At 40.1% G+C, this 20,523-nt stretch overlaps 2 long non-coding RNA genes and 1 pseudogene across 4 annotated transcripts in view, besides 1 other annotated feature; 2 read left to right on the top strand and 1 right to left on the bottom strand.

Annotated features, from left to right (window-relative positions):
- Position 1: 1 nt before the first annotated feature.
- LOC101060632 (uncharacterized) lies at positions 2-16,236 on the top strand. 3 transcript variants are annotated; one of them, XR_007068529.1, is made up of 4 exons: positions 2-88; positions 6,373-6,586; positions 7,924-8,144; positions 12,779-16,236. It is a non-coding gene; the product is annotated as an uncharacterized LOC101060632 (long non-coding RNA). The 3 variants fall into 3 exon arrangements; XR_007068530.1 differs by lacking the exon at positions 2-88 and having other exon boundaries at positions 5,883-6,586; positions 12,779-13,693; positions 15,659-15,742; XR_007068528.1 differs by lacking the exon at positions 2-88 and having other exon boundaries at positions 5,883-6,586.
- Positions 349-849: an enhancer, noted in NCBI's record as "H3K27ac hESC enhancer chr1:143201417-143201917 (GRCh37/hg19 assembly coordinates)". NCBI's record gives its function as "activates a minimal SCP1, AML or CMV promoter by ChIP-STARR-seq in primed H9 embryonic stem cells {active_cell/tissue: H9 hESC(primed)}" and the evidence as "EXISTENCE:reporter gene assay evidence [ECO:0000049][PMID:30033119]".
- LOC105379854 (uncharacterized) overlaps positions 11,613-20,523 on the bottom strand; it is a 71,606-nt gene continuing 62,695 nt past the window's right edge. Inside the window, exons 2-3 of the long non-coding RNA XR_001756120.3 lie at positions 13,242-20,523; positions 11,613-12,843 (exon numbers count right to left, since the gene is read on the bottom strand). The exon at positions 13,242-20,523 is cut by the window's right edge and continues 19,860 nt beyond it. This is a non-coding gene — a long non-coding RNA (uncharacterized LOC105379854). The remainder of the gene's footprint in view (positions 12,844-13,241) is intronic.
- Positions 16,076-17,652, top strand: SNX18P19 (sorting nexin 18 pseudogene 19; annotated as a pseudogene).

Raw genomic sequence — 20,523 nt, 5'->3', positions numbered from 1 at the left:
CTGGTGTAAACACTTGTGGGGCTGGTTGGAGATTCTCCAGGGACCCTTCCGTATCTGCCTAGGCATTTTGCTGTCTCCTCCTAATACGGTATCTGTACTTAATTTCTTCTTATTGCTGAGTAATATTCCATTGTATGGATACATCAAACATTTTATTTATCCATTCGCCAGGTGATGGACCTTTGGGTTCTCTCCCACCCAAAGGTGACAGACCTTCTGGTTCTTTCCACCTTTTGACTACTATTAATAATGCTGCTGTAAACATTTATGTATGAGTTTTTGTGCTTGGGTATGTTTTTATTTTTCTGGAGTATATACTTATGACTGGAATTTCTGTGTCATATGGTAACTTCATGCTTAACCCTTTAAGGAGCTGCCAGTTTGTTTTCCAAAGTGGCTGCATCACTTTACATTCCCAGCAGCATTAGATAAGGGTTTTAATTTCTTTACATTTTTCCTAACACTCTTTTTTCTTGAACAAAGATTTTATCCTGTGGTGTGAAGTGATACCACATGTGGTTTTGATTTACATTTTCCTAATGACTAATTACATTAAGCATCTATTAATGTGCTTATCCATCTTTATATCTTCTTTGCAGATATATCTATTCAAAATCTTTGCCCATTTTTAAAAATTGGCTTATCTTGTTATTTATTAATTGCAAGAGTTATTTATATTTCCTATATATGTAAGTCCCTTATCAGATACACGCTTTTCAAATACTTTCTTCTACTTGGCGTCTTACCTTTTCACTTCTTCATACTGTCTTCTGAGGCACAGCAGTTTTCAATTTTGAAGTCCATTGAATCCATTTTTCCTTTGGAGTCATAGCTAAGAAAAAACTGGCAAATGCTGTCACAAAGATTTATGCCAGTGTTTTCTTCTGAGGGTTTTATAGTTTTAGCTTTTACAGTTAACTATTTTATTTTGAGTTAATTATTAAATAAGATATTTGGTCAAACTTTATTTATTTTTTGCTTATGGATACCCAGTTGTCCCAGCACCATTTGTTGAAAAGACTATTCTTTTCCCATTTTGTTCTTTTGTTAAGCTTGTATAAAATCAAGTGACTGTAAAAGTGCAGGCTTATTTTTAGATTGTCAATTCTTAGCTTTTTTATGTCTATTCTTATGTCAAGGCCCAATCGAATTGAATGAGAAGTTTTTTTCAATCATGTTGCATATTACCAGTTGTCTTATGTCATAATAAAAATTAAATTTAGTGGAATGTCTGTAACTTCACCTTTTGTGTCACAAAGGAGTCTCTGGCCAGCTTATACCTTACTTCCTCTAAGACATGATCAGACACCAGGCTTACAAGACACACTTAATTTCTTTTTTTCTCCATTCAAGCCTTTAGTCTCTTTTCCATTGCCTCCCACTATAGTTATATTTTCAGTAAGTTTTTGTTACAGGATCTGCTGACATAGTCTAATATTCAGTGCATTATGTTTTACTAACTCATTATAATTCATAGAACCTTCCATAGATGTTTACCATCTAGGAAGGGGAAGTTTAAGTCTGAGCCACCAGCTTTCCTCAGTGGAAATCAAGTGAAGTCATCATCTTGCAGTTTACAGACCCTCTTTCCTCCTGGTAGCTGGTTCTCTTGGGTAGCACTGTGGCTAATCCTTTTCTTAGTGCAGATCTTGCATTCTCAGAAACCACAGTTCCCTGTATTGACCTCCTTTTACTGAAACAGAGATGCACAGCTCTGCTTTCTAGCTCAGTAGAGGATTCTTGGAATAAAACGTTTAACTCATTCCAAGAAAAAGTCTTAGGAGTGCAGCACTTCAAAATCAGGTAACGTTCAGGCAATTTATCAGAGACACATAGTAGATTAGTATTTTGACTTTCAAAATTTCAGAGCCAAGTTGTGTGCTATAGAGAAGCATTGTGGCATAACAAAGAGATGGGATGGTCTTAACTTCTCCATACAAACAAGCTTGGAGTAAGGTAAAGGAGAAATTGCATTTGTGTCTTAACACTCAAAATACATTATGCTTATTTTACTTCTGTGAAGAATAAAAATCATTCCATAATATTCTCCTTATTTCCTCATTTAGAAAAGAAAATGAAAATTGAATACTAGGTTGATTAATAAATACTCAAAACTTCTTCTTTTAGAATTTTAGTTAATTGAAATCAGGTAAATGTCTGATTTTGCCTATGTCACCCAGTATTTCTAGTTGTTTTTCAAATCATACATCTTCTTGCTTCCCAGTCTTACTTCCTAACTTGAGGAGAAATTGTAAGAAGACACCCTTGTCTTGTTATCAGAGTTCATAATTGAAGGAGTTTTAGGAAAATTCCTCCTCAGCAGCTTATGTCTCTCTCCTGGTTATCTACTGCTTCTCAATAATGTTTGACATCATTAAATAAATATCAACATTTTTTAGATCCTGCTTTAAAGGAGACTCTTTTCTGCTGCATAAGTTATGTTTCCTGTTGTCTCTTTTTAAAACTTATTTTCCTAACAATTACCCAGAGTCTTGTGGTTTGAAGGAAAAACATTTATTTTGTTCATGAACCTGTGGTTTGGGAAAAACTTGGCCAGGACAGCTTGTCTCTGCTCCCTTCAGCTTCCCTAGGAACAGCTGATCAGTTGGGGAAATGGAATCCTCTGAAGCTTTGGTCACCCACTTGTTTGATGGTTGATGCTGGCCATCGGCTGTAAACTTGGTTGGGACAGGCAGCATGAACACTAACACAGGCACTTTCAGGCTCTCACAATTGGGGCTGGGCTCCAAGGGAAAACAGTCTGAGATAGGGAAGCCACATGGTATCCCTTTCACTACATTCAACTCATTAGAAGGAAGTCAGTAAGGCTGGCCCATATTCTGTTTTTTAAATGGGATGAATGTAGCTTCTCTTTTGTTTTAATTGACACATATATACATAATTATGGGCTATAGAGTGATATTTTTATACACGTATATAGTGTGTAATGATCAAACTAACTAGCACATTTACTACTTCAACCATTTTTCATTTCTTTGAATTGTGAACATTGAAAATTTTCTGGCTTTTTAAAAATATACAATAAGTCATAGTTAACCATATTCACCCTACAATGCCACAGAACACCAGAACTCACTCCTCTTATCTAACTGTAATTCTGTATCCATTAACCAGCCTCCCCTCCCCTACTTCTGTGAGCTTTTTTTTGTTAAGAGACAGGGTCTTGCTAGTGTAGTCTGGGCTCTGGGCAACTGTAGTCACCGAGACTGGAGACAGTGGTTTGATCATAGTTCACTGCAGCTTCAAACTCTTGGGCCCATCTGATCCTCACACCTCAGCCTCCTGAGCAGCTGGCATTATGGGCATGCACCATTGCACATGTCTGATTTTTGACTTTGTAGAGATATCTCCCTATGTTGCCCAGGGAGCTCTGGAACTTTTGGCCTCAAATGATTCTCTTGCCTTGGTCTTACAAAGAGCTAGAAAATTACAGGCATCAGCCATATTTCCCAGCCTTCAATTTTCCTTTAGCTCCCTTACATGAGTAAGAATGTGCAGTATTTATCTTTCTGTGTCTGCACTTAACATAACATCCGTCAGACTGATCCACTTGGCCACGAATAACAGGATTTAATTCCTTTATACGGTGAATAGTATTCCACTGTGTTTGTGTGCCACAGTTTTTCGTCCATTCATTTGGTGATGGACATGTAGGTTGATTCCATACAGAAGCTGTTGTGGATAGTGCTACAGTAAACATATGAGGACAGATATCCTTTTGATCTATTGTTTTCTTTTCTATTGCCTGAATACCCGGTAGTGGGGTTGCTGGATCCCTCGGCAGTCCCATTATTAGTTTTTTTGAGAAAACCTCCTGTTGTTCTCTATAGTGGCTGCACTAATTTACCTTCCCACCAACAGCATGTAAGAGTTTACTGTTCTCTGGAGCCTCACCAGCATTTGTTATTTTTTTTGTCTTTTCAATGACAGCAATTTATTCAAATTGAAGCAAGATTATATCACATTGTAGATTTGATTTGTATTTCCCTGAGGATTAGTGATACTGAGCATTTTAAAATTTATTTATTGGCTATTTGTATTTCTTTTTCTAAAAAAAGTATAGTTAGATATTTTGCCCAATTTTAAACTCAGATTTTTTTTTACTGTGAAGTTGTTTGAGTTTTTTTGTATATTTTGTATATTAGTCCCTTATTAGGTGAATAGCTTGACAATATTTTCTCCTATTCTACAGGTTTTCTCTTCACTCTGTTGTGTGCTGGACAGAAACTCTTTAGCTTAATGTAGTGTCTTTTGTCTATGATTTGTTGTTTGCCTATGCTTCTGATGTCTTACCCATAAAAATCTTTGTGCAGACTAATGTCCTCAAGCATTTTCCCTATATTTACTTAGAGTAGTTTGATAATTTTGGGCCTTACATTTCAGTCTTCAATCGATTCTGAGTTTATGTTGTTATATGGTGTTACATAGGAAGCTAATATCATTCTTCTCCATATGGATATTTAGTTTTCCCAGTGTCATTCATTTGAAGAGGCTGTCCTTTCCCCAGCGTATGTTCTTGGCATGTTCGTCCAAAATCAGTTGGCTGGAAATATGTGGATTTATTTCTGGGTGCCGTATTCTATGGTCTTTACCCCAAGAAACATTACTTCTTAAAATGCAATTCAAATTAGCATGAAACATTTGCAGTTTAAGGAAAGGCTTATAGCATCAGAATCCTTAATCATAGATTTCATTATTTTGTGGTTTTTTTTGAGATAGGTTCTTTGTCTGTCATCCAGGCAGAAGTGCAGTGATAATAATTCACTGCAGCCCTGAACTCTGGGTACAAGCCATCCTTTTGCCTCAGTATCCCAACTAGCTGGGTCTACAGGCATGAGCCACCATGCCCGGGTAATTAAAAAAATTTTTTTTTGTAGAGATGGGGGTCTCACTATGTTGCTCTGGCTGATCTCGAATTCCTGGCCTCAAGTGATCTTTCTGCCACAGCTTTTTAAAGTGCTAGGATTACAGGCATGAGCCACCATACCTAATATAGAGTGTAATATCATTTTCAAAGTCTTATTCCTAGACCCATTTATTGACTTTGGCCTAAATAACTCAATATGATATCTCTGAAACTTTTTTTGACATACTGTGGGGAATGATAATGAAGGAAGGGGGTTAGACACTTTTTACTAGGAGATAACTTTGTGCCATTTAAGGAGGAACAAAAATGAATTATCAGAAAAATAAAAGTAAAATGAAGTACAAAAATTCTGTGGCAAAGATGATGATAGTAAAGAATATATTTTTATGACTCATGGTAGCTTTAACTTTGTTCTTAAAATTCTGAGTAATTTAAGGGTTCACATTTGAAGAATCTGCTGCATTACAGATAACATTTTATTGCAAGTAAATGCATTTCATAATTTGCTATTGGTTTTGTATTCGATTATTCTCAGCCTACTTCATTATCAAGCTATACTATTTTATTCATGCAGTTTGATGATTTTATGGCGGAGAAGGAAGCTGTATCTTCAAAATGTGTCAATTTGGCTAAAGAGATTCAAGTTTTTCAACAGGAGTTATTATCTATGAAAAAAGTACAACAGGAATGTGAAAAACTTGAGGAGGATAAAAAGATGTTGGAAGAAGAAATATTAAATCTTAAGACACATATGGAAAACAGTATGGTAGAACTTAGTAAACTACAAGAATATAAATCAGAGCTAGATGAAAGGGCAATGCAGGCAGTAGAAAAATTAGAAGAAATCCATTTACAGGTGAGTTGTTTAAATCAGGTAAGTTTACTTGTAATGTGCTTTCATTTATTTCACTGCAAATTATATTTTGGATATATATATATATATATATATATATATATATATATATATATATATATAGTGTTTCCTCTGCCTCTCTTGTAGCAATCTGCTTTGTAGAGTTCTAGAAAAAAATGGTATCTGTTTTTTCTTTTAAATATTTAAATTTCCATTATTATTATAACAAAATCAATCTTTCAGAGTAATGATTCTCATTATGGAGTCATTTGATGATTAAGACCAGTTGGCATAGGAAAAAATTGTGATTTAGAAATTATGTGATAATTATGAATTGGTCTTAAGCTACAGTGTTCATTGATCACTTTTTAAAACTATGAATGGATTCTATTACTTTTTATATGACCAGATTACATTAATACTAGCATAATTATGATTTCAAATTTTTACAAATCAGACTTAATTCTGAATTCAGTTATTAGTTTTGATATTGCTGAAATATTTTAAACTTCATCCTCTTTTTTAACATATTCAAAAATACTCTTTGAATCACTGACTCAAAATGAAAGGCAACAAACATAATAATTAGGTTATAATTGTTTTAAAAGTGTATTCTTTTCCTCTGTTTTAGGAACAAGCAGAACATAAAAAACAATTAGAGCAGTTAAACAAGGATATAATACAGCTTCACTAAATAAGAAGGAACTCACACTTAAAGATGTGGAATGTAAATTCTACAAAATGAAAACTGCTTATGAAGAGGTTACAACTGAGTTAGAAGAATATAAGGAAGCCTTTGCAGCAGCATTGAAAGCTAATAGTTCCATGTCAAAAAAATTAACTAAGTAAGTCAAAACATACACTCATAGAAAATGAATTAAGCTCATTAATTTGTTTCAAAAGCATAATTTTTAGTGAGATGGCTTCAGGAGATTAGAAGCAAGTGAATGCTAATTTGACAATGTAATTTTGAAAAATAATGTGAGTAAATAATTTTACCTTTAAAATGTTAGTCAAAGATAGTTTTTGTCTCTCCTCTCATTTTTTTTTTTGCTTTTGTATGGCTTTTTTTCCTGAAAAGTCTCATGTAATTAACCTGATCTGTTAGTTTTTTTCACTAAGTATTTTTGAAGCTTTATAATTAATGAAGTGATCTTGTTATAAAATTACTTGTCAGAATTTCCCTAAATAGAAATATTAATGTGTTTAATTTACTTTTCAGTGGATCACAACCTAAATGCAAAGTGGTACTGCTACTCTGGGCACAATTGTTTTTGATTGTGATCTTTAGTATTATCACCAGAGGGTGCCTCAAGAAAGACTATTTGTGTAACATATTCAAGATGCTGCAGAAAGGCACCCTTGTGAAATAGGGAATAATTATCACAGGAATTTAAAGAAGTGTAATTCACAAAGCGGTTAAAAAATAACACCTTGTTCAGCCTGAAGCGGTGTGTGGAAGGCAGAAAGAACATGCCCCACCTCCAGGGCCTTGGTCACAGTGTTGGGGACTAATTGCCTTCAGAGATGCTTTAGTTCTTTTTGATCACCAACCAGACAATCTAGTTCTCCCCTAGGAGTTGTTGCTCTGAATTATTCCTCAGTGCCAAATGTTTAATTGGTCCTAGATAATGGGTGAAATGTACAAAAGTGAAATCTAAAACTGGTTTACTAAACACAAGTATTCCTAGATTTTTTTTCGTTCATTTTAGTTTTCTTAACCTACATTAAGGAGTATAACATGATGTTTTGATATAATTATTTCTAGTGAAGTGGTTCTTATAATCAAGCAAATCAACATATTCATTTTCCCACATTATTACCCTTTAAATACAAGTATTTCTAATTGAATCTTCAGAATCTTACAAGTAGAACCATTTTAGAAGGCAGGAAGTTTTACCTGTTGAGCCATAAATCACTGATAGCCATTTCTCTTCCCTGTCTACTTTGTTTGAACTGCTTGTTCAGTAGAAATCACCTTAGAAACAATGGTGATTCTTTAGAACGATTTTAAAATTATAATTCCTTACAACAGGTATGCTCTTACACATCTTCTATGTGAAAACACTATTTAGTGGGTAATTTGGTTTACTCTCAGGGTAAGTTTTTAAAAACTTCAAGTCATTAAGAATCATTTAAGGAAAAATGAAATATTAAACATTTGTCTTTGCTATCTTTACAGATCGAATAAGAAAATAGCAATGATCAGTATCAGCTCTTTATGGAGAAAGAGCAGGTGAAATATTTTCTCAGCACTCTTCCTACAAGGCGAGGTCGAGAGTCACCTTGTGTTGAAAATCTTACTAGTATAGGACTCAACAGAAAATATATTCCCCAAATGCCCGTAAGAATTCCTACTTCAAACCTCAGACTTCAAATAACTGCCAGAACTACTTGACTGAGGTTAGTTATATGACCGTTTCTCTTTAGGGTTTCATTTCTCTAGCGTAATTCTTGTTTATAATTTGGTGAAATACTGAGTTGTTCTGTTGACTTTTGCATGTGAAGTAAAGATCATAATTAGCTGTGTTAACACAGAAAGGAAATGGGAACTTTACATTTTTTAATTCCCTGGAGCTCTCATTTTCAAGAGATATCCATTTGCTAACTTTATTCAATAAATGTGACTAAACTGACACGTTTGAAATGTCTTTAAAAGCTGCATTTAAGTTAGGTTTTAGAAATTGCATGTTATTGCCTGATAACTGATGATATACTTTGAGATGCTTTGGCTTACTCTCTAATTGATTGTAGTTTAGCTGTGGTTCATACCACATTTTTTTTCTTTTTTTTTTGAGGCAGTGTCTCACTCTGTCATCCAGGCTGGAGTGTCTTGGTGCCATCTCCACTCACTGCAACCTCCACCTCCCGGGTTCAAGTGATTCTCCTGCCTCAGCCTCCTGAGTAGCTGAGACTACAACCACCCACCATTACACCCAGCTAATGTTTGCATTTTTAGTAGAGACAGGGTTTCACCATATTGGCCAGGCTCTTCTTGAACTCCTGACCTTGTGATCTGCCTGCCTGAGCCTCTCAAAGTGCTGGGATTACAGGCATGAGCCACCGCACCCGGCCCATGCCACTTTTAAAGTTTCTTTGCACCAGCCAGGTGTGGTGGCTCATTCCTGTAATCCCAGCACTTTGGGAGGCTGAGGCAGGTGTATCACGAGGTCAGGAGTTCAAGACCAGCCTGGCCAAGATGGTGAAACCCCATCTCTACTAAAAGTACAAAAAAAAAATTAGCCTGGTGTGGTGGTGGGCACCTGTAATCCCAGCTACTAGGAAGGCTGAGGCAGAGAATTGCTTGAACCTGGGAGACGGAGGTTGCAGGAGCTGAGATTGCACCACTGCACTCCAGCCTGGGTGACAGGGCAAGACTCCATCTTGAAAATAAAAAAAAAAATTAAAAAAGTTTATTTGCACCATCTCAATTCTTCCCACCCATAATCACAACTGAATGATTGGCATCCAAACACTTTGCCACATATGGATGTTTATTATTTAGTAGAATCCAAAATAATTGCATTTTATGAATTAAACAAAACACTAAAATGTTCATTTCCATTTTTATGTTAAAAGCTTTGTGCTTGGCCAGGCATGGTGGCTCACACTTGTAATCCCAAAATTTGGGGAGGCCGAGGCAGGTGAATCACCTGACGTCAGGAGTTTGAGACCAGCCTGGCCAACATGATGAACCCTGTCTCTAGTAAAAATACAAAAATTAGCAAGGCGTGTTGGCAGGCATGTGTAATCTCAGATACTCAGGAGGCTGAGGCAGGAGAATCACTTGAACCCAGGAGACAGAGGTTGCAGTAAGCCAAGATCATACCACTGCACTATAGCCTTGGTGATGGAGACTCTGTCTCAAAACAAAACAAAAAAAAGGTTTGTGCTTTCCTTACATAAGAGTACATCTTCTGACTATAAAAATCCTGGAAGAAAACCTAGGAAATACTCTTCTGGAGATCATATTTGTCAATTAATTTATGGCTAAGTCCTCAAAAGCAATTGCAAGAATAACAAAAATTGACAAGTGTGATCTAATTTAGCTAAATAGCTTCTGCACAGCATGAGAAACTATCACGGGATTAAACAGACAGCCTAAAAGAATGGAAGAAAATATTCACAAAGTATGGATATAGCAAATGCCTATTATCCAGAATCCATAAGAGACCTAAACAAATCAACAAGCCAAAAATAATTAAGACCATTAAAAATGGGCAAAGGACATGAACAGACAGTTCTCAAAATAACACACGTAAGTGGCCAACAAACATTAACAAATGCTTACCATTGCTAATCATCAGAAAAATGCCAAACAAAACATCAATGAGATACCATTTCACACCAGTCACAATGACTTTTGTTAAAAACAAATAATAAATAAAAACTTAAAAAAGGATATTGGGATAGGCTGTGGAGAAAAGGGAACACAAACCGTTTGTGGCAATGTAAATTAATTCAGCTACTATGGACAGCAGTTTGGAAATTAAGAACTAAGAATGACTGTTGGATGCAGCAACCCCATTACTATACTAGGGGTATACCGAAAGGACAATAAATCATTGTAACAAAAAGATGTATACACATGTATGTTCATTGCAGCACTATTCACAATAGCAAAGATGTGGAGTCAATCCAGGTACATCCAAGGTAGATTGAAAATCCAAGGTAGATTGGAAAATTCTATATATACCATGGAATACTATGCAGCCATGAAAAGAACAAAATCACGTCATTTGCAGCAACATGAATACAGCTGGAATCCACTCTCCTAAGCAAACCAACGCAGAAACAGAAACCAAATATCTCATGTTTTCACTCATGTGGGAGCTACATATTGGGTGCACATTGTCATAAAGGTGGGAATAATAGACACTGGGAAATAAGAACGGGGAGGGACAGAGTGGGCCAGGGTTGAAAAACTACTTCTTGGGTCCTATGCTCACAACCTGTGTGATGGGTTTAATTGTACTGCAAACCTCGGTATCCCTCAATATGCCTTTGGAAGAAACTTACAGAGGTACCACGTTAATTTAGAATACAAACTAGAAAAAAAAAGAAAAGTTTACTATAAGTAGAGAACAGAAATTTCTTTTTAAGATAAAATTTATTGAAGTAAAAAATGGATTAAACTTTTATAAAGGGCAGACTTTTCTAAGAATTTCAAAGCAATGCATTCATTGCAAAAGATGGCTTTAATTACTTAATCTTTTTTTTTTTTTTTTTTTTTTTTTGTGAGACAGGGTCTCACTCTGTCACCAGGCTGGAGTGCAGTGATGCAGTCTTGGCTCACTGCAACCTCCACCTCCTGGCTTCAAGCAATTCTCCTGCCTTAGTATCCCAAGTAGCTGGGACTACAGGTGCACATCACCACGCCCAGCTAATTTTTGTATTTTTAGTAGAGATGGGGTTTCCCCATGTTGGCCAGGATGGTCACGATCTCCTGACCTTGTGATCTGCTTGCTTTGGCCTCCCCAAGTGCTGGGATTACAGGTATGAGCCACCATGCCTGGCCATTGTTTAACCTTTGTACTAATAAAACACTACCTTTCTAAAATCATGTATATGCAATAGATTAGTGTTAACTGCATTTTTGTCAGATTACTCTAAACAGCATTACACATATACATCCTCTGTTATCTAAACTTAAAATAAGTAGAAATTTTATTTTATTTATGTGATTATTTTTCTATTTAAGCAAACTTCAAGTTATGTCTAGTCACTAAAAATACTAAAGGCCACATTTTGTAAGTGATACATGATTTTCATGATAATGTTTCTTGTTTAATTTAGACATTACTATTATTTTTACTTATTTTAGATGGGGCCGGACTGTGTAGAATAAATAATTAGAGAAACAAAGAGAAGTACGATGACAAAATTTATTAATTAAATTTAGGTTTATTTTAGAAATAAAGTGTAAATAGCAAATGGCATTCCTTTTCATTCTTGGGTTAGTAGATACTACATCAATATTTTTTTTCTTACACACATCTAATGAAAGATGTGAAAACAAAAACTTTCACAGAGAAGACTGTACTTATGCACCATAAATTCATCATGTTCCAAAGCTTAAACAGTTCCCAAGATGTCTGTGCATCTCTTTTTCATTGGCTCTACACTTTCTTAAGTTTTGCCATCCTCATGGAACTGTCAGCCAGCACACTGAAACGATTCTCAGAAAACAAAAGCATCATCAAGTTCTCAGGGTTTTGGTAGAGATTGAAGGCCAACAGACCTAAGACTCATTCAGAAATACTTAGCTGAGCAATAACCCTTCATAAGCAGTCACTTGACAGGTGACATTTTAAATCTCCTCTAATTAACTGTGTCATTGGCTTACACTTGTTCTCAGGAAAAGTTCCAAATTTTTCACCATGAAATAAAAACACCCATGTCAATGTGATTCTTGTCAAGTTACTCAGTCTTGTTTCTCACCGCTTACTGCACTCTGCCCTTTGCTCTAGCACCAAACTGGATGGAGTGGAACTCTGCAGGGCTCTTCCTTACCTCAGGCTCTTTGCCTTTGCCTCTTTCCTCTATCTGGGAAGCTTTTCCTTGTCCTTCAGGTATCAACCTATGTTATCTCCTCCACCAGAAAGCCCATGATATTGACATAAAAGTGGGTAGATGTCCCTTCTCTGTGTTCCAGTAGTGCCCTGCTCTATATCTGTCATGGTATATATGACTCTATATAGACATTGCCTGCCTGTCTGTTTTTTAGATTATAGCTTATGACTGTTGAGAGGTGGACCATGCCATCTTCATCTTGTAATTCCACTGCTGGTTCGAGTACCTTAGCATGTGGCTGTTGATTACATGAATGAAGCCTGAAAAAGCTCTGATATTTAAACACAATTAGAATTAATGCCATGTGTAAATTATTAAATAGTAATTTTGTATTGTAAATGTACATACATATTTCTCGTTCTTATTAACTCTGATAAAGTTCTCAAGTCTTTAGTTTTTAAACTCACACTTAGTTAACTGAAGTGTTTTAGGTAAAGAACAAAATTCTTTATTTTTCTTTCCAGCTGTTGCTGTATTGGACACTTGCTCCCATCTACTTTCTTCTCTGGAATCCACGGGTAAGCCACATCTAATGAAGAGAATATTTAACCATAAAGTCTTAAGGAAAAATTGTATGATGATTTAAAAGATTATAAAACTTTATCACTGGGCTATTTACACATTTTAATTGTTTCTCATAAAATATATAACATTCCAATATTTACTGAAGTAGGATATTTTTGTATCATATGTATGATTATAATTTATAGGGTATTTTAAATGATGTTTTTTGGCCTCCTTAAGTTTTAAGTGGATCTTGCAAATGAAAACCAGTATTATTGAGTTTGACATACTCAAATTGCCCAAATGTCAGCTGTTTAAACAACCAAGTCATCATTGATACTTTAGTAAAGGTTAGTAAAGGTCATCGAAGGCTTATTTGCATTTTACAGTTTTTATTACTTAGGAGACTTAAGGAGTACCTACCAGGTTTGTCCATGCTAATGTTACAATTTTCTTTTAGTAGTTCAACCGTATTTTGTATGGAGATACTTTGAGGCTCTGTAAATATCTGGTTACTCCTCAGAACCCACTAGATTTAGCATTTCATGGATGACTTGTGTTTGAACAATTATTACTATGATGGTTACCAGATGATTATTTTCTTATTATCTTCTTTGTTCTACATGGAGAAATAAAACCAATAAATAAGGGAGAAGGAAAGCTCATGATTCTGATGCTCCAATTCCCCAAGATTAGGCCAGTAGTAGACATTCCAAGCTGACTTTATGTCTCTTTGATTTGTCTCCATTACTCTGTCGGCACTTTTTTACTTTGTGGCAGAAGATGTTCTAAGCTCAGCTTGTATTTTCTCTGCGCTAGCTCTGGAATGAGTAATTTTTTTTAGAAGCAGAGGTGGAGCCACTGAGGAAGCACAGGTGAGCCCTCCCCAGTGTGTACTCACTGGTCCCCAACAGAAGAACCACTGCCACATCCACTGAGGTACCAAGAAACTAGCAAAGGGCCTTCTGGCTGTCTGGGGAGAGTCCTCATGTGGTCCCTGGCTGTCTCAGAGGTTCTGGATTAGTCTTCCTGTAGCCTCTGTGTTGTGTCTTTAGATCGGGGCTCTGTGGGAAGGGCCCTGAGAGACCCAACAGCACAGCGTGCCTTATCTGCTAAATGTCCCTCCCTTCCTCACACTCTGACACTCAGGAATAGGGTAGATGGTGTGTCCAGGCAGTGTCAGGCCATCTCACTTTCTCCTTTGAGACGGGCCCAGAGGGCCTTTGGGGTGAGTGTGGAGCTGGGAACCTGGAGCCTGAGGCCAACTGTCTCTCCCTGTGTCTTGGAGGAAAGGCCATGTCCCAAAAAAACCCCCAGGGCCTGACCTCTGGGCACACATGCAGGGAGGGAGGGTCTATGAGCTGAGGGGGACATTGTAATGAGACTTTGAGCCCCGTTGCTCCGGGGCCTGGTCAGTGGACCATGGTCAGAGATGACCTGGTCATCAGGACCTAGTCATTTGGGACCTGATCAGCAGGGGCCTGGTTAGTGGCGGCCTCCTCAGTAAAGGCCTCATCAGTGGGGACCTGGTGACCTAGCCATAGGAAGCCTGGTCAGTGGGGGAACCTAGTCAGTGGTGGCTTTATTAGTGGGGCCTGATCTGTTGGAACATAAACAATGAAAAACTGGTTGGTGGGGCATACACAATATATCACTGGCCTGGTCAGTGTGGGGCCTTAGTGGCTTGGAGGCTGGTCAGTGAGGGCCTGGTCAGAGGGGGCTCGGTCAGCTGGGTACTCGTTCATGGAGAATTGTTCAGTGGGGGGTCGGGTGAGCAGCAACCTGGTAAATTGTGGTCTTGTCAGTGGGAACCCGGTCTTGTCAATGGGGACCAGGTCAGTGGAAAATTGGTCAGTGGGGTCTGGCCCATGAGGCCTATTAAGTGTGGGCCTGGTTAGGAAGACATGGTCAGTGGGGACTTGATCAGTGGGACCTGGTCAATGGAGGAGTGGTCATTAGGGGCCTCATCACTCATCACTGGGAACCTGGTCAGGGGCAGTTGGTCAGTAACTGGCCTGCTGGCCACTATGTGACCTCAGGCAGGGGGGTTGTCTGTGGAGGCTCCTTGCCTCCATCTGCAGGGAAAGTGAGTTGGGGCACCCTGGAGGGTGGCTGGAAAGAGAAGGTGAGAAGATGTGTTGAATCCAATACTGCTTGGCAGACCTACAACTTTACAAATGACCTGTGTTCCACCTAGAGAGGGTGCCAGGCCTCTCAGCATTATGCAGTGCCCCTCCTCTGTCTGCATCCCCAGGACCACCATGGGTGGGGAGGGTAGAGATTGGGGAGCAACTATAGAGGCTCTAATGCTCTAAGGTGACAGTGATGAGGACCTGGGTGCACCCATGAGTGGAGAAGCTAGGCCTGTCCAGAGAAGCAAGACACATACACACACACACACACACACACACACACACACACACAGGCACACATGCATACACAAATACATTGCATACACACATGTCAGTTCAGGGGATAGAGGACACTGACTCTGGGCCCTGTTGACCCAAGCAGACTCCCATGGTTGTGGGTTGTGTCACCCCACAATGTCACTGTTGCTGAGTCCCCATCGCCTCTGTGTTGTGGAGCAGTTAGAGACACACAGCAGTGTCTGTGAGTAGCTCTGCGTGAAGGACCATTTTCTAGATGAGAGGCACATCTCAACACAGCTCACTGATCAGATTCAGGTGAGTGGGACCTGCTCTTTTCTCTTCCTCCTGGTTTGGGAAAAGTCACTATCAGGTGGATGGTTTTGGCCTCTGGGCAGCTACTGAGGGTAATCCCTGAACACTCACCAGCTGCCTGTTATGTGCTGACAGTCATCTCATTCATCCTCGCAGCAATTCCATTCTGCATCTTTTCTGATCACCTCCGTGACCACACAGGACAACCCCATCAGGGCCCTGTCACCAGGCCCAGTCTAGCTCCATGATAACCAAGACACAGGTCCAGAGACAATCATCCTACATTGTGCCTGCATCTGACCCCCCTTGGTAGGTAGTGACCAGCACTACATGGAAGAAGCCAGGGCAGCTAGCAGCCAGCTGCTCTGCAGCCCCAAATGGCTCCTGGGCCTTGGGAAGTCATTCATAAAGCGGAAGCTGGTCACTTTGAGGTCCCTGAAGGTAAGGGTGAACGTGCATCCTAACAGCCCTGGCAGCCAGCAGCATGCCATACATATTCTCACCCAACGTGTGTGACAGAGGTCCCCTCCTGGGGCACAAGTCCCATACCTAAAGCATCCTGTCCCAGTCGGACCTCATCCTGAGCCCTGGGAGGGGAGGGGCACCATGGGCCCCCCTGCAGCAGCCAGGATTACCACCCATGGGACTCGGCCTTCTGTGGCCCTGGCCAGACTTAGAATTTGGCCCAAGACAAACTTACTCGGAGCAGCTTCTCAGTACCTGGGGCCTGTGCATGCCAGGCAAGGCCAAGCTGGCTCAAAGAGCAACCAGCCACCTCTGCAAGGGTGTGCCAGGAGCAGATGGAGCAGTCACCAACCTCACCCACTCAAGGAAATAGGGATGGCCAGTTTACCACAGTCTGAGTGACCACCACCTGACAGCTGATGGAGTGCAGGCCTGAGGAAAAGCAGATGGCACTGGGGCTCCACCTCCAGGGCAGAAAAAATGATTTACCCTGACTGGCAGAGAGTCACGTTGGTGGCTGGTCCACTGGCTCCTGGCACACCCTTGCAGAGGTGGGTGGTTGCTCTTTGAGCCAGCTTGGCTTTGCCTGGCATGCACAGGCCTCAGTGCAACAAATGTGCTGCAAATGGAGCCACATAGAGGAAATGAGCAGCAGGCTCAGAACTGGGGTGTGTGCCGCCTTTGGGGCTCTAGTCCAAGCATCGGGGCTTCTACAGCACTGTGGGCTTCTCGGGTGCCAAGAGGCAGACCACAGGCCATCTTGAGGAGGACTCTGGTAAGAGCTTCCTTGTGTATGTGGATGATGTCCAGAATGTTGGCCTGGTGTCCCTGAGACAGCACTAACAGGTCCATGACTGGGTCCAGATCCTGCCTGGGCTGATGGGCAAAGAGCTCACTGACAGTGTGGAAGGCATCTATGGTGAAGTGGATCTATGTTCAAGTGCAGAAAGGGCCCAATCTTGTAGATGAACCACACAGCCAGCTTCTGGATGCAGGTGCAGTGCCACATTTTTTGTCACTTCCTGATGTGCCCCACCAGCACTGAAGAGATAGCCTGGAGACAGGGCAAGAGGAAGGCTGAGAAGGATGAGATGGTGAGTGCCAGATTCTTCCTGGCCCTGAGCCCACCCCCAGTGTGACACTCAACTTTTAGGAGTGGAAGAGCAAGATTGACGGCTTCAAGTGCTTCACCAAGAAGATGGACAACAGGGCACTCAGCTCAACTTCACAGCCAATGAGTGGTGGCAGGCTTTGAGAAAGAGCATCAGAAGCCTGACAGTTCTTCTTCAGCCTCAGCCAGGCCTTGGAGCTGGACCAGGCCATCCACTTCAGTATAGATGCCTCCCACTCTGTCAGTGAGCTCTTTGCCAGTCAGTCCAGGAAGGACCTGGACCCAGCCATGGACCTGTTAGTGCTGTCTCAGGGACACCAGACCAACATCCTGGACATCATCCACATACACAAGGAAGCTCTTACCAAAGTCATGGAGAGCAGGCAACATGTGGCAGAAGGAAAGACAGAGGTGCAGAGGCTGATGACGTCAGAATCACAGGAACAGGATTTCTTTGGCCACTTTGGCTGAAATTCACCACTTCCATCCAATTCCAGTGAGAGACATGGACTCACAGATGCAGCATTTCTTGCAACAAGAGATACTACTTTTTCAAAAAGTCACCCAGGAATTGATAGTGTTGAATGCCTCGATACTCGATCGTGGACGGTTTCCAGTTCAAGGATACTTTCTACAGCAGAATAATAACACTAGCAAAGAGCTAGTACAAGGATGGTTTTGTGCTCAACTGAAATCCAGCTGAATACAGAATTGTATAGGAAACAGTTAATATGGTGATAGAATAGAAACAGTAGCAATCGTGAACTAAATCATACTATGAATGCCTAAACTACTGCTGTAACTTTTGGAAAAATGATAATACCACTTTATTGCTTTTCGAAGTATGAATATTTTAGTGTATATGCTCTAGACTTCAAACTCTATAAAGAGTCTCAAAGAAGTTGGCTGGATAAAGCCTGCTGTGGATGTCTTTATATTCAAAGATTGATGATGCAATTTGAATATGTGTCCCCACCGAATCTCATGTTGAATTATATTTCCTAATGTGGAAGGTGGATCCTGGTATAAGGTGATTGAATTATGAAGGCAAATTTCTCATGAATGGTTCAGCACCCTCCCCTTGTACCATCCTCACAATAATGAGTGACTTCTCATGAGATGTAGTCACTGAAATCTCTATATCACCTCCCCACTCTCCGTGTTTTCCCCTTGCCATGTGAGACAATTGATTCTTTCTTCGCCTTCCATGATTATTGAAAGATTTCTGAGGCCTAGAAGCAGAAGCACTGTGCTTAGAACCATGAGCCAATTAAACCTCTTTTTCAAAATAAATCATACAGAAAATGGCAAATGAGGACTGGAGCGTTGCTTTAAAGATACTTGGAAATGTGGAAGCAGCTTTGGAACCAGGTAATGGACGGAGGGTGGAAGACTTTGTAGGGCTCAAAAGAAGACAGATGAGAAAACTTTTGGACTATCTTAGAGTCTGGTTCAATGGTTGTGACAAAAATCCTGACAGAAACATGAACAGTGAAGGCCAGGCTGAGGAGGTCTTAGAGAGAAATAAGAAGCTTTCTGGAAAATGTCTTCCTTTTGGATATGGAAAGCTTACACAATGCCTGCTTTTTATTTCAGAGACTCATAGGCAAAAGAGACTGTAGCCTTGACCCAGATGAGACTTTGGACTTTGTAACTTTGAGTTAATCCTGAAATGAGTTAAGACTTTGGGAGACTGCTGGCAAGACATGTTTGTATTTTGCAATGTGAGAAGGACATGAGATTCATCGGGTCAAGGACAGAATAATACGGTTTTTGTCAATGTCCCTACCAAAACTCATGTGGAATTATATTTTGTAATGTTACAGGCAAGGTCTAGGTGGAAAAAGATTTAGTCATAAAATGGTGCAGGTAGATACTTCACAAATGATAAAGAACCATCACCTTGATGCTATCCTCCTGATAATGAGTGAGTTCCCATGAGATCTGGTTGTTTAACAGATCTCATCCTCCTGCTCCTGCTTTAGGAGACATCTCATTGTCACTTGGCTTTCTGATATAATGAGGAGGCTTCCTGATTCCTCCCAGAAACAGAAGACACTATACTTCCTTCACAGCTTGCAGAACCATGAGTCAATTACACCTCTTTTATTTACAATAATACAGAAAAGTAGAACTGCAGAGAGGAGCTGTGAAATGCCTTCAAGGCCTTTTTCCCTTTGTTTTGGCTATTAGCACAGGGCTTCTTTATATGCAAATTTTTGAAATCTTCTTGAATGTTTCCCCTTAAATGGGATTTTTGTTATTGCTACATAGCCAACCTGCTATACAGATTTCTGAAAAAGTAGAAGCAGGCTCAGTAGTGGGTAGCAAACAAAGATTGGAAGGGTTTGGAGGGATTAGATTATGACAGGGAGTGGGAGGGAGTGATTTAATCATGGATGGGTGGGGGTGGATGTGGAAGGGAAAAAGGGGTGGGTAGGGTGGGAGGGAGTAGACTGGCTGTACGGTGGTGGGAGGGTGGTGGGTAGTAGGAAGGGGTAGTAGACTGCTGCAGAGGCAGAGCCTCATGGAAAATCCCTACTAGGGAAGAGCACCTGTGGCTTTGCAGGTTTGAGCCCCAATGGCTGCTCTCATGGACTGGACTAGTGTTGAGTGCCTGTAGCTTTTCCACACGGAGGGTGAAAGCTGTTGGTGGGTCTATGTATCTGGGGTCTGGAGGGTGGTGGCCTCCTGCATGGGGGCTCCAAGTCCATATTTTCTTTCTGCACTGCCCTAGTAGAGGTTTCCCAAGAATGCTTCATCTGCAGCAGGCTTCTGCCTGGAAACAGTGGGAGTTGCGGGTGGGAGGCAGATCCTTCACCAATGGTTAGGCAACATCTTCTTGATGCTGTCTTCATGATAGTGTGTTCTCATGAGATCTGGTTATATAACAGGGGGTGGCACCTCTTTCCTCTCTCAGTATTTCTTCTACCCCTGCCATTTGAAACATCTCATTGCTCCTTGGCCTTCTGGTATGATTGGAAGGCTTCCTGATCTGATCCTCCCAGAAGCAGAAGCCACTGTGCTTCTTTTACAGCCTGCTGGACCATGAGCCAATTAAACCTCTTTTCTTTATGATCATGCAGAAAATTAGTACTATGAAGTGGAGCCATGAAATGCCTTCAAGGCCCTTTCCCCTTTGTCTTGGCAACCAGCACTCAGCTTCTTTTCATGCAAATATCTGAATCCTTCATGAACTTTCCTCCTGAAAATGGACTTTTCTGTTTTACCACATTGCCAGGCTGTGATAAAGATAGCTGACAATGTAGAACCAGGTTCAGAAGTGGGTAAAAGACAGAGGTCAGAAGAGTTGGGAAAGCTTAGAAGACAGCAAGATGAGGAAAATATTGGACCACTATAGAGAATTGTTAAATACTTGTGATAGGAAGGCTGACAAAAGTGTAAACACTGAAGTCCAGAACTAAAAGTTCTCAGATGAAAATGA

This window comes from Homo sapiens (assembly GCF_000001405.40).
Source record: "Homo sapiens chromosome 1 unlocalized genomic scaffold, GRCh38.p14 Primary Assembly HSCHR1_CTG1_UNLOCALIZED".
Lineage (NCBI taxonomy): Eukaryota > Metazoa > Chordata > Mammalia > Primates > Hominidae > Homo > Homo sapiens.
Note: the sequence above shows the minus strand (reverse complement) of the source record. Positions and strands in the feature narration are given on the sequence as shown.